The sequence below is a fragment of the Homo sapiens genome, chromosome 9, assembly GCF_000001405.40.
Source record: "Homo sapiens chromosome 9, GRCh38.p14 Primary Assembly".
Classification (NCBI taxonomy): domain Eukaryota; kingdom Metazoa; phylum Chordata; class Mammalia; order Primates; family Hominidae; genus Homo; species Homo sapiens.
The window spans coordinates 124085555-124099076 of NC_000009.12; positions in this window are offsets into that span (position 1 = coordinate 124085555).

Below are 13522 nucleotides of genomic sequence, written 5' to 3' on the forward strand. Positions count from 1 at the left end.
GCCTGAAACAAAGTTGAAGATGTCTTCCAGAATATCGGTCACAATGTCAAAGATGAGCTCTACATGGACCATCTTGAGCCCTAGAAAGAGTAAGCAGAAAATGGAGAGGAGGAAATAGTCAAAGAACCAGCAAGAGAATCCCCCAGAGCTGAAAGACAGTCTTTACATAGAAAGGACCCACCAGGTACCCAGCACAATGGATGAGAATACATCTTCACCTGGACACATCTTCATGAAATATCAGGGTAAAGAGGAAATTCTAAAAATGTTCAAAGAGAAAAGAAATCAACCAACGAAGGAATTGAGTCAGACTAGCTCTAGCTATCCCAGCAACACTGTGTTCTAAAAGATGGAGAATGAATACTTGTAACATTCTTAAGGAAAATGATTTTCAACTTAGATTCTTTACCCGTCACCATCAGTCAAAGGTGAGGGAGAGAATATTTTCAAACATGCAATGATATAGAAAATTTACTTTTCATGACCCCCTTTTAATGGCTTATCTGAAGTTGTATTCTAGCAAAATAAAGCAATAAACCAAGAAAGAGGAAGACACAGGATTCAGAAATACTGGGTCCAACCCAAGACCACAATGAGGGAAAGTCCCAGGATGACAGTGAGATTGCAGGGTTAGAAAACAGCCTGTCCAGGAGGGAGTAAGAGAATGGATGGGTCAGAAAGGGAAGTGTCCAAGGAAATGGGAGACATGATTAAGTAGTAGAGTCACAGAAAATTTGAAACATTTGAAGACACAATAAAGTGTAAGAAAGAAAAGATGGCCAGGCACAGTGGCTCACACCTGTAATCCCAGCATTTTGGAAGGCTGAAGTAGGCAGATCACTTGAGGTCAGGTGTTCGAGACCAGGCAACATGGTGAAATCCCATCTCTACTAAAAAATATCAAAATTAGCCAGGTGTGGTGGTGCACACCTGTAATCCCAGCTACTTGGGAGGCTAAGGCAGAACTGCTTGAACCTGGGAGGCAGAGGTTGTGGTGAGCCGAGATCACACCACTGCACTCCAGCCTGGGTGACAGAGCAAGCGAGACTCAGTCTCCAAAATAAAACAGCGTAAGAAGGAAAAGAAAGGCAATTGGAAACTCCAGGAAAAACGAAAGTGTATAAGAAAGTCCAAATACATGGTCCAAATACAAAGCAAACTAAAGTGTGGCAATGTTTTGAGTGTTTGATAAAGCATAAGAAAAGAGGTTCAATTTGACCACAATGCTAGGAAGAGTTTCTTTTCAGTCACTCAGGGGTCCTGACATTTGATTTTAAGAGAAGGAATAGAATCCTAAGGTATTACTTGACTCAGCAATGGTAATATTTAAACAGTCATAATAGCATAAACTTTTGGAGTCAAACTATGGACAAAGCATAGAGGTGTTGGTTGTGGCTGATGATCAGAACATAAGTACTAGTGACCTGCACAATGCAAAAATAAATGCAGTTGACAGGAAGACCAAAGGGTAGGGGTGCAAAAATCCTCACTTTCAAAATGAGGAGTCAAGTTTTTTTTTTTTTTTTTTGAGATGGAGTTTTGCTCTTGTTGCCCAGGCTGGAATGCAATGGTGTGACCTCAGCTCACTGCAACTTCTGCCTCCCAGGTTTCAGGAGTTGTGAACAAGAAACAATGGTTTAAGTAAATCATTTACATATCACTTAAAATTTCGAAAGTAACAAATAGAAGGTTTAAAAATAATTTTTTACTCAGGAGGCTGAGGTGGGAGGACTGCTTGAGCCCGGGAGGTCGAGGCTGTGGTGAACCAAGATCATGCCACCTGCACTCCACCCTGGGCAACAGAGTGAGATCCTGCCTCAAAAAATGAATGAATGAATGAATAAATAAATAAATAAATAAATAAATAAATAAATAAAAATAACTTTTAAATTTCAAACATTGGGAGGAAAACAAGAAAGGTAGACTGGCTATATTCCCATCTTTCAGATCATGGGGTTGATATTACATAAGAACAGCAAATAAACTAGAAATAGTTACCTACCAGAACAGCAAATTAACTAGTGCCATAGTTACCCACCAGAGAGACAGGCAAATAGCAGTGGTTTTTTTTTTCCTTGTTTTTTTTTTTTTTTTTTTTTTTTTGAGACGGAGTCTCGCTCTGTCGCCCAGGCTGGAGTGCAGTGGCATGATCATGGGTCACTGCAGCCTCAGTCTCCCAGGCTCAGTTGATCCGCCCCGCACAGCCTCCTAAGAAGCTGGGACCACAAGTGCACACCACCACACACGGCTAATTTTTCTATATATATATATATATATATATATATATATATTTTTTTTTTTGTAGATACGGGGTTTCACCATGTTGTCCAGGCTGGTCTTCAACTCCCAGACTCAAGTGATCCTCCTGCGTCAGCTTCCCAAAGTGCTGGGATTACAGTCGTGAGCCCCTGTGCCTGGCTTTTTTCTTTTTTAAGTTGCTTTTTCCAGGTTGAATGGGCATAGGGTGGGGCAGGATGAGAACAATGTGTTTTGATCACAACCTTTTGGGTACTATTTGAGTTGTTACTATGTACATGTAGTGCTATGACCCCAAAGATGTTATTTAACAGGAAAAAGAAGGATTCTAGGTATCCCAAAGAAACACCTCAGGTGAGTATCAAGATGCCCTGTCTGCCATATGGCTGTCATGTTGACCAGGCTGGTCTCGAACTCCTGGCCTCAAGTAATCTGCCCACCTTGGCCTCCCAAAGTGCTAGGACGACAGGTGTGAGCCACTGCCTGGCCTCATCTGTGCCTTCTGACAGCTCTTTGATTTGGGCATGTCACTTTTTTCAGCCTCAATTTTATCCCCTGTGAAAAGGGGGACAGTATCTACCCATGTAGGTTTCGGTACAGATGACATGATAATATATAAGCATCCCAGTGCCTCCCTTCTTCCCTCCCTGCCTTTCTACCACCCTCCCTCCATTCTCGGGGGTGTTTGGAACCTGAGGTGTAAGACTGGCTTAAAAAATTTGATAGGAAAAAAAAGGCCTCAGTCCCCGAGAAACGTTCTCTGCAGCACAGCGGTGAACGGATGTTTTGCCTCGGTGCTGCTCCTGCCTTCCAAGGAACGATCCGGACCAGCTGGTGTGTGCCTGCGTGTGTGTGTGCGTGTGCGTGTGTGTGTATCACAGCCTAGTGGTCCCTATTTAATACTTGGGAAGGGGGTGTCAGCTGGAGGCTGCCGTGCTGCAAGCTTCTCCCTGAAAACGGAGGGCAAGGGGGTGACTGCTTAATGACTAGATGTTAAATGTTCCAAACAATTTATACATTTAGAATCCTAAGTTTTCAAAACTCAGCCCGCCGCGCGGTTCTGCAGATCTTGTTTATAACACATTCGGCTAAAATTATCCCAGTGCACGCTGCACCTCCTATGGCACAGATGCTCCGGAACCTGCGGCTCTGTTTTGATTCCAGATATTCGTGTTAAAGCTATTTGTGTTCGCCGTAAATGAAACACGAAACCGAGGAACGGTAGCTCTGGTGATTTTTATAAATATATGCCTAATCTTCACAGCGGGCACTGGGGTTCAAGTTTTATTTATGTGTGTTTTGCCTCCCGGTGCCCCAAGGGGCTTGTTTTCCCAGGCGCCTACAGGGGCTTCTGCCTGTTCAGGGAGGAGGAGCCAGGATGGAGCTGTGTCTCATTCCTGGGGACTCTGTCCTTGCCCAGGGAGGCAGCTCAGAGCAGGACAAAGGACACGGGCTTTGCGCTCTGCTGCTTACTTTCTGCAATTCTTCCTCCACCCGAGCCTTACCTTCCCACGTCTGTGAAATGGGGATGATACTAATTCACACTCAGAGGGTGGTGGTTGGGATTATATGAAATGCTCAAGACATATAGGCTCATTTATTCAATGGGTATTTACCAAGCACAAGACTAGGTGGTGGTAGTGGTGTGTGTGTGTGTGTGTGTGTGTGTGTGTGTGTGTGTGTGTGTGTGTGTGTTTTAAGCCCTCCTGTGCATTAGGATCACATGGCGAGCTTTAAAATAATCCAGACATGCAGGCCCTTCCCCAAGTCACATATATCAGAATCTCTAGGGGTGGGACCCAGGCATCAGTAGTTTTTAAAATTCCCCAGGTGATTTCAATGTGCAAACAAGTTTGAGAACCACTGACCTAGATAAGTGCTTCTCAGATTTACGTGTACACAAGTCCCCTGGGATTTGTTAAATAACAGCTTATAGTGGAGTAGGTGGGAGGGGGTGCTGGGTTGCTAGGAGCTGCATTTCTTTTCTTTTTTTTTTTTTTTTTTTTGAGACAGTTTCACTTTGTCCCCCAGGCTGGAGTGCAATGGTAAAATCTTGGCTCACTGCAACCTCCACCTCCCTGGTTCAAGTGATTCTCCTACCCCAGCCTCCTGAGTAGTTGGGATTACAGGCACGCACCACCACACCCAGCTAATTTTGGTATTTATACTAGAGTTGGGGTTTCGTCATGTTGGCCAGGCTGGTCTTTAACTCCTGACCTCAAGTGATCTGCCCGCCTTGGCCTCCCAAAGTGCCAGGATTACAGGCGTGAGTCACCACGCCCGGCCAGAAGCTGCCTTTCTCTTTCTTTCTTTCTTTCTTTCTTTCTTCCTTTCTTTCTTTCTTTCTTTCTTTCTTTTTCTTTCTTTTTCTTTCTTTTTCTTTCTTTCTTTCCTTCTTTCTTTCTTTTCTTCCTTTCTTTCTTTGTTTCTCTTTCTTTCTTCTATCTTTCATTCATTCTTTCCCTTTCTTTCCCTTCCTCCCTTCCTTCCTTTCTTTCTTTCTTTCCTTCTTTCGTTTTCTTGCTTTCCCTTTCTTTCTTTCTCCTTCCCTCCTTCCTTCCTTTCTTCCTTCTCTCTCTTTCTTTCTCTCTCTCTTTCTCTCTTTCTTTCTTTCCTTCCTTCCTTCCTTCTTTGTTTCTTTCTTTCTTTCTTTCCTGAGAAGGAGTTTCGCTCTTGTTGCCCAGGCTGAAGTGCAATGGTGCGATCTTGGCTCACTGCAACCTCCGCGTCCCAGGTTCCAGCAATTCTCCTGCCTCAGCCTCCCGAGTAGCTGGGATTACAGGCATGCGCCACCACGCCCGGCTAACTTTGTAATTTTAGTAGAGGCGGGGTTTCGCCGTGTTGGTCAGGCTGGTCTTGAACTCCTGACCTCACGTGATGTGCCCGCCTTGGCCTCTCAAAGTGCTGGGATTACAGGCGTGAGCCACCATCCCTGGCCCAGGAGATGCATTTGTGATGCTGCTAGGGCTGGTGGTCCGCAGGCCACTTCTAGGCACTCTAGTAGGACCTGCTGGTACCCAGTTAGGCTGACCAGAGGCAGTTGCTGCCTACATAGACTTTATGAGGACTGCAGACAGTTAAACAGATGATGACAATGATCAATGTTTGACAAGAGAATTGCATGGCCCTATGGACCTGCCTTTGGGAGTGCAGGTGGGAGGGAATCAGGACAAACTTCCTGTAGGAAGCTGAGTGTTAGCCAGAAGAAAGGGGAGGGTGCTGGGGAAATGATGCCGGCAGAAGGAATAGCATGTGCAGAGGCTCAGAGGCAAGGGATGGGAGCCAGGGCTGGTAATTCGGGGTAGTTGGAGTTTCCAGGTGAAGCTGGAACTGCAGGAAGGGCACAGGTCAGGAAGCAGCTGATTGACCCTTAAGGTTATGGGGCTTGACCTTGACCTTTATCTCAGGGTAAATGGATGGGAAAAGTAGTGAAAAGTTTAAAGGGGGAGAGATGCAATCAGCTTTGCCTTGTAGGATTACCAATCATTCTATTTATCCCTTCTGCTCACCAAGCTGCCATCAGCAAAGCACACCTGCAGAATACAACTGAATCACTAGCAACCCATAAGAAGGGCCGTTAAAGCCTCTACTATGTGCAGTGCTCAAGTGGGGAGGCAGACACACAGATCTGTTGGCAGTACAGTTCTGTGGGTGCATGGTAGATCCTGGGACAGCAAGATCTGGGTGTGGCAGTAGGAATAAAAGTGGCAGAGGGAGGGTCCACATGAACTGGGGGGGTCTGAGGTTTCTGATGGGAGGAGGAGTTTTGGGGCCTGGTGTCTTTTCGTTGTTGCTGTGTTGTTTTGTTTTGTTTTTTGAGACAGAAGCTCGCTCTGTCACCCAGGCTGGAGTACGATGGTGCGATCTCAGTTCACTGCAACCTCTTCCTCCTGGGTTCAAGTGATTCTCCTGCCTCAGCCTCCCCAATAGCTGGGATTACAGGTGCCCGCCACCACGCCTGGCTAATTTTTGGCATTTTTAGTAGAGATAAGATTTTGCCATGTTGGCCAGGCTGGTTTGGAACTCCTGTCCTCAAGTGATCCACCCACCTCAGCCTCCCAAAGTGCTGAGATTACAGGCGTGAGTCATTGTGCCCAGCCTGGGGCCTGGTGACTTTAACTGGTCAGAGAAGAAAGGAAAGGACATCCCAGAGGGAATGGCCTCACTTGGGGGCATACTGAGAAAATGGTGACCAGACCAGCACTGCTGCATGAAGGAGGCAGAAGGCAGAGGCCAGTGCTGTCATCAACACCATTGATGCCCCAGCACCTGGCACAGAATTGGTACTCATAGATGTTTGTTGAGTGAATGTTGAAGGTAGGATGATGCTATGGACTGAATGTTTGTGTCCCCCCAAATTCGTATGTGGAAGTTCTAATCCCCAATATGATGATATATGGAGATGGAGCCTTTGGAAGATAATAGGGTTCAACGAGGTCACGAGGGTGGGGCCCTCATGATGGGATTAATGCCCTTATTGAAAGTCTTTCTCCTTATATATACCATGTGAGAACACAGCAAGAAGGAGACAGTCTGCAAGCCAGGAAGAGAGCCCTCACCAGGAACGAAATTGACTGTCACATTGAGTTTGGACTTCCCAGCCTGCGGAACAGGGATAAATGAAGTTCTGTTGTTTAAGCCCCTCAGCCTATGGTATTTTGTTACGACAGCCCAAGCAGACCACTACAGGAGGAGTGAGAGGGTGATGGGCTGGGCTGCATAGGTCAGTTCTGCTGGCAATCAGGGATCATTTCAGTTGGCATCTTCTTAAGATATTATAACACTTCAGTTCAGTTGGTACATAAGTTGCTGGCACAAGTCCCTGGAGAGCCCACCACTGCCACCCCTGACACCAGGCCACTGTGGCTTTCCCCTGGGATGTCTGGACCTCTCTGCTCTCCAGCAACTAAAGTGTTAATGACCTGACCATGAGGAGACCTTTGGGACCTTACCCAGGGCCAATGACACTGATGATCAGGGCCACAGGCCCAACTGTTAAACATTGGACATCTCACCCCTGGCTGCTACCAGAAGTCATAGGAACCACCTGCGGGAAGCTCCAGTCCAAGTGGAGGTGCGGCGAAGGACCCAGCTGGCTCACTGAGGAAATGCCTGGTGCTGGAGCTGATGGACTCTATCCCATGCTCTGCTTCTCTCCGGGCTCCTGCTCTGCTCCCCTTCCTCTCTGACACCTGGCTTTTTCTTCTCCTGGGTCCACATGGCAGAACATGGCCCACAAGGCCACTCAAGTTGTCATGTCCTAAGAGCCAGCTATCCAGAGAGCCTGGTCTCTCATTTCAGTTCCAGATCCAAAGCTCCAGGGAAGGCCTCTGACTGTTCTGGCTTGAGCCCTTGTCCAGCCCTGGGCCAATTAACAGTGGCTTAGGATGGGGTTCTATTGACCATCAAGGTTGCTCATGCCACCATCTTGGGTGGAATGATGGGTGTGAGTATATGTGTGTGTTTGTGTCTGTGTGTGTGTGTGTGTGTGTGTGTGTGTGTGTTGGGAGTAGGAGATTAAGGAGAAGCTTCTAGAAGGAGGACAGGAGTCCCAGAAATGGAAGGAGACTGGGTGGCCAAGTAGTAAGGTCTGCTACACTAAGCCAAGGAGTATGGGCTTTACAAATAGGCCATGGGGAGCCATGGAAGGTTTTGGAGGTATGGCATGGCTGGATTTAGGGAAGATTATTCCAGTGGTGACATAGAGGAAGAATGGAGGTGACAGGAAGAACCAGCGTCGGCCACTGCAGTTGTCCAGGAAAGGAGTGATGAGGACGTGCATTAGGATCATGAAGCTGCAGAAGAAGCGAGGGATGCAGGAAACTGACCAGCATGAGAGATCGGAAGGAGTCCATGTGAATTCCATCTGTGGTCTTGGTGGTGTGGGGCCCATTCATTTTTTTGGAGTCATCACTCTGTATGGTCATGGGAATGACCCCTGGAGAAGGCCAACCTTTCACATTTGGAGTCCACCTGAATCCCTTCATTGCCAGGGTGGCTGAACAGGGAAGGGAGTCTGAGATGAATTCTCATTGCCAGGAGGAAGCAGGTGGTATGATTTTGTTAATCTCACAAAAGGATTCTGGGCCTGCTGTTTTCATAGCACCAAGAGGCCCAAGGAGCTTCTCAAAGCCTGGGCTATCTTCCATGTCAGAGGCCGGCAAACCAAGCCTGTCTTGTCAATAATGGCACTGTAGTTTTATTAGAACACAACCTCAACCATTCGTGTAAAGATTGTTTTGTTAGCAAAGCCCAAAATATTTACCATCTGCTCTTTCACAGAGAAAAATTTGCCAACCCCTGTTCCACATCAACTTATCCCAGCTTTGCTCCTGTTGTCACTGTCACCTGGCTCCAGAGCTGAGGGACTGCAAATCTCTTCTTCCACCAGGTGGAACTCCGACAGCTTTCATCTCCTTTTTTTTTTTTTTTTTTTTGAGATGGAGTCTCGCTCTGTGACCCAAGCTGGAGTGCAGTAGTGTAGTCTCAGCTCACTGCAACCTCCACCTCGTGATTTTCCTGGCTCAGCCTCCCGAGTAGCTGGGATTACAGGTGCTCACCACCACGCCCAGCTAATTTTTGTATTTTTAGTAGAGATAGGGTTTCACCATGTTGGCCAGGCTGGACTTGAACTCCTCACCTCAGGTGATCCACCCGCCTTGGCCTCCCAAAATGCTGGGACTACAGGCATGAGCCACTGCGCCCGGCGTCATCTCCACTTTTAATTCAAATGTGTGAATCCTGATTTATCAGGCCCACTGGTCAGCTCCAAAGTCATTACTGGGTTTTATTCCCTGAGGCCTGGTGAGCCCACTGACACACAGGTGTCTGGGTGTCCCCTCATCTCCGGCAGTGCTCAGGTCTGCCTGCTCTCACAGTTTTTGGAAGAGTGGATGTCAGAGAATCCACAGGAAAGCGGAGGCTGATGATGAAGTTGCAGGATGCATGAGATAGCAGAATCTCAGAGAGGAAATTCTGACAATCCAACTGTGACGGACGGACGAGGACAGGAGGGACAGCCGGAGACTGTGAATGCCCAGAGCTTTCGGCGGACAGAGGAGCATAATTAGGAAGGATTCCCAAGGAGCAGGGGAGGGTTGGAATGTGGGTTTGAAGGTTTAAAGGCCGGAGAAAAGGCAAAACTTGTGGAAAATGTTTAGAACCAAGCCAAAGATGCTTCACAGTATGTCTGGGGAGAGAGACAGCCTGGGGACCACTGCTTGGTGCAAGGCCAATGCTAACACTAGACGGAACATTCTGGTTTCCTTTCAACCCCCTCGTGAAGTAGAACATTCTTCAGAAAGGAGAAGAAAAAAGCTAGGCTTAACAGAGTGGCTAGGATGTACCAGGTGCAAATCAGGCGTGAGGCGTTCTTTTGGTATTTTGGAGTTTTTTTTTTTTTTGAGACAGAGTCTCTCTCTGTTGCCCAGGCTGGAGTGCAGCGGCACGATCTCGGCTCACTGCAAGCTCTGCCTCCTGGGTTCATGCCATTCTCCTGCCTCATCCTCCTGAATAGCTGGGACTACAGGGGCCCGCCACCACACCCGGCTAATTTTTTTAGTAGAGACGGGGTTTCACCGTGTTAGCCAGGATGGTCTTGATCTCTTGACCTCGTGATCCACCTGCCTCAGCCTCCCAAAGTGCTGGGATTGCAGGCATGAGCCACCGTGCCCAGCCGGTTTTTTTTTTTTTTTAATTGAAGTAAAACACAGGTACAGAAAAGTGCACAAATCCTGGGTGCATAGCTCAATAGCTTTTCTCGAACTGAACACACTCTGTAACCTGAATCCGTATGTCCCCTTCCCAGTCACCATCTCCCCAAGGGTGGCTGCTACCCTGACTTTTTTTTTTTAAGACAGGGCCTCATTCTGTCATCCAGGCTGGAGTGCAGTGGTGTGATAATAGCTCACTGCAGCCTCAACATCCCAGGCTCAAGTGATCCTCCCACCTTAGCCTCCCAAGTAGCTGGGACCACAGGTGTGCCACTATGCCTGGCTAATTTTTTTATTTTCTTGTAGAGATGGGGTTTCGCCATATTGCCCAGGCTGGTCTAAAATCCCTGGGCTCTAGCAATCTGCCTGCCTCAGCCTCCCAATGTGCTGGGATTACAGGCGTGAGCCACTGTGCCTGGCTCCTCACCCTGACTTCTAACACCATAGCTTGGCATTGCCTATTTTTGAACGCCCTCTGTATGGAATCACAGTGTGTGTTCCCTTTTGTATGAGGACTTTTACCCTCAGCATGATGAGATCACCCATGTTGACGCACAGGGATGTCCGTGTTTTTGTTGTTGCTGGATGGAGTGAATGTTCCACAACGTGTGTCTCCGTTCTTTTCGGATGGCATGCGTTTTGTTTTCCATTTGGTACTGTTATGAATAGTCCTGCCATGAACATTCTAGAACTGTGCTTTGATGGACACATGTGTGCATTTCTGTGGTGATGATACTTGGAAGTGAAGCTGTCAGGTCACAGGATAGATGTATGTTTGTGTTTAGCTTTATTGATACTGATTAAACATAATTCTTATTCACATTTTATAAACCAGGGGACCGAGCCTCAGAGAAGGGAAAGGACTTGCCCAACAACACTCCACTTCCCGGGGCTCCAAAACCTCTGCCATTTCCTCCCGTGAGATCAGCCTTTGGAGCAGTCTCTAGGGATGTGCCACAGGATTCTGCACTGTTTTTTCATTTTTGTTTTTGTTTTGAGACAAGGTCTTGCTCTGCCGTTCAGGCTGGAGTGCAGTGGTGTGATCTCAGCTCACTGCAGCATCAACCTCCGGGCTCAAGCAGTCCTCCCCTCTCAACATCCTCCATCCCCACTAGCTGGGACTACAAACACACACCACCACACCTGGCTCATTTTTGTATATTTTTGTAGAGACAGGGTTTCAGTATGTTTCCCAGCCTGGTCTTGAACTCCTGGGCTCAAGGGATCCTCCTGCCTTGGCCTCCCAAAGCATGTGCTGAGATTACAAGGGTGAGCCACCATGCCCTACTGATCCCGCACTGTTTTTTTTTTTTTGTCTTTTTTTGTTTTTTTTTGAGACGGAGTCTTGCTCTGTTGCCTGGGCTGGAGTGCAGTGGCACGATTTCGGCTCACTGCAAGCTCTGCAATCTCTGCCTCCCAGGTTCACGCCATTCTCCTGCCTCAGCCTTCCAAGTAGCTGGGACTACAGGCGCCCGCCACTGCGCCCAGCTAATTTTTTGTATTTTTAGTAGAGATGGGGTTTCACCGTGTTAGCCAGGATAGTCTTGATCTCCTGACCTCATGATCTGCCCGCCTGGGCCTCTCAAAGTGCTGGGATTACAGGTGTGAGCCACCGCGCCCGGCCTTGATCCTACATTGTTAATCAACATTTTCAAACAATCGAATAAACTTGTCAAAGACAGGAAAACACTGATCTGTGCTGAAGCTATGGGGGATAGTGCAAGTGCTGGAAATTCACAAAGTGTTGTGAATTTTACTTTAACAGGAATAGCCAGTCCCACTAGGTCGCGTCCAGGCTGTGATGAGACCCAGCAGGGACTCTGTGGGGCCGGGGCTGGGAGTGGGAGTGGACATCAGATTCAGTCTAGGACAGGGGTGGAGTCGAGGGACAAAGCCCAAGTGGATGCCGGGACTGTGAGCAGAAGGTGGAGGAGAGGTGGGGATGAGGACGGACCTGGAGGTGGAAGCCAGAAAAGGCTGCAAGCGGTGGTAACAGGGGCAGAGGACTCGAGGCAGTGGCTTTGCTTTGTTTTGGGGGGTGTCTGGTCCATGAGGTATTTTTACTTTCAGGGACTCCCCTGTCTGTGGAGGCTCTGTGGAACCTTCAAGGGTGGCCTGAAGGCTGCCGAGTGCATGGACCAGAGTTGGTGAAAGGGTTGGCAAATGAGCTTCTGTGGCACATGATCTTCAAGCGTGTGCATCCGAGGTGTGATCCAAGCATGGAAGCTGGTGTTGCAGACAGACCAACGGTGGCACCGGGATTCACACCTGCATCAACTCTTGCCTTTGAGTGTGTGAAGGACCTCTGACTTCTAACCAAGAAAAGATGGCAAAGGTGACTAGGATACCACACACACACACAGGCACACATACCCATGTACAGACACACATACATGTATATACATGACACTGTCTTGCTGGCATGAACTAGAGAAATTCTCCTCACTGAAGAAGCTACTGGGCACATTAAAAAAGCCCACAGAGTCAGGAAATTCAGGTAGCTTTCAGCCACCAGCCAGCAAAAAAAACTGTGGCCCTGAGCCATGCAGCCACAAAGAGATGAATTCTGCCAACAGCCTGAGTGAGTTTGCAAGGGGAGTTTTCCCCAGTAGAGCCTCCAGATGAAATGCAGCCCACCCATCTCCTTGAATGCAGCCAACCAGACCCCCAGGAGAGGACTCAACTTAGTCACACCCAGACTCCTGACCGGCAAAAACCGCGAGATGAGAAATATGTGTTATGGGAAGCCACCAAGGTTGTGGTAATTTGAGATGTAGCAATAGGAAGCCAATACAGTCGGGGCATATGTGGGCTTGTGCTAGGTGTGTGGTCACCCTGGGGGTTATATGTCAGTGGGTGTGGATTTAGATGGCATGTGCCTGAATGTGTTTGTGTGTTTGAGCACGTGTCTGGGTGTGTGGATGTTTGGGAATGTGTGTGTGTGATAGTGTGTGTTGGAGTGGCCAAGGGGTGCGAATGGGTGTGCCGATTATTGACACATGTACAGTGTACACGTCTATGCATGAGCAAGTGTGTGCACACACACGTGTGTGCAGTGCCCCTACTCCCCCATCCTCTTTTATGACTTCCTCCCTGGGTTTGATGTTGTGGGTGAATAAAATTTAAAGAGCTCTAAATTTTTTTTAAAGAGCCCTAAAGGGAGTGGAGCTTTTTGTGCGTGAGTCATTACCAGGAACACCTGTGAACTGTTGGTTTTAATTGGGCCACAGCTGTCAGGTTGCAGAGGGGGAGGGATGGGTCTCTCGGCTTGTCTGTCTCGAGCCCCCACCTCCTGTTGGATCTTTGGGTAGGTGGCAGGGGCAGGAGGCAGGATGGCCCCTGGAACCAGGATGGACTTTGGTGTCCCTGGGAAGCAGTGGAGAGTTGCTGGGCCTGGGTCTAGCCTCAGCTGCTCCGGCTTTGGCTTCATGCTCACCACAGGGCTCAGGTCTTCCACCCTTCTGTGTCTGACTTCCCTGTCCCAGGAATCACCACCCTGAGACTGGGCACTCGCACTCCTGCAAGGGGGTTCGACACACACATGCTCATCTATG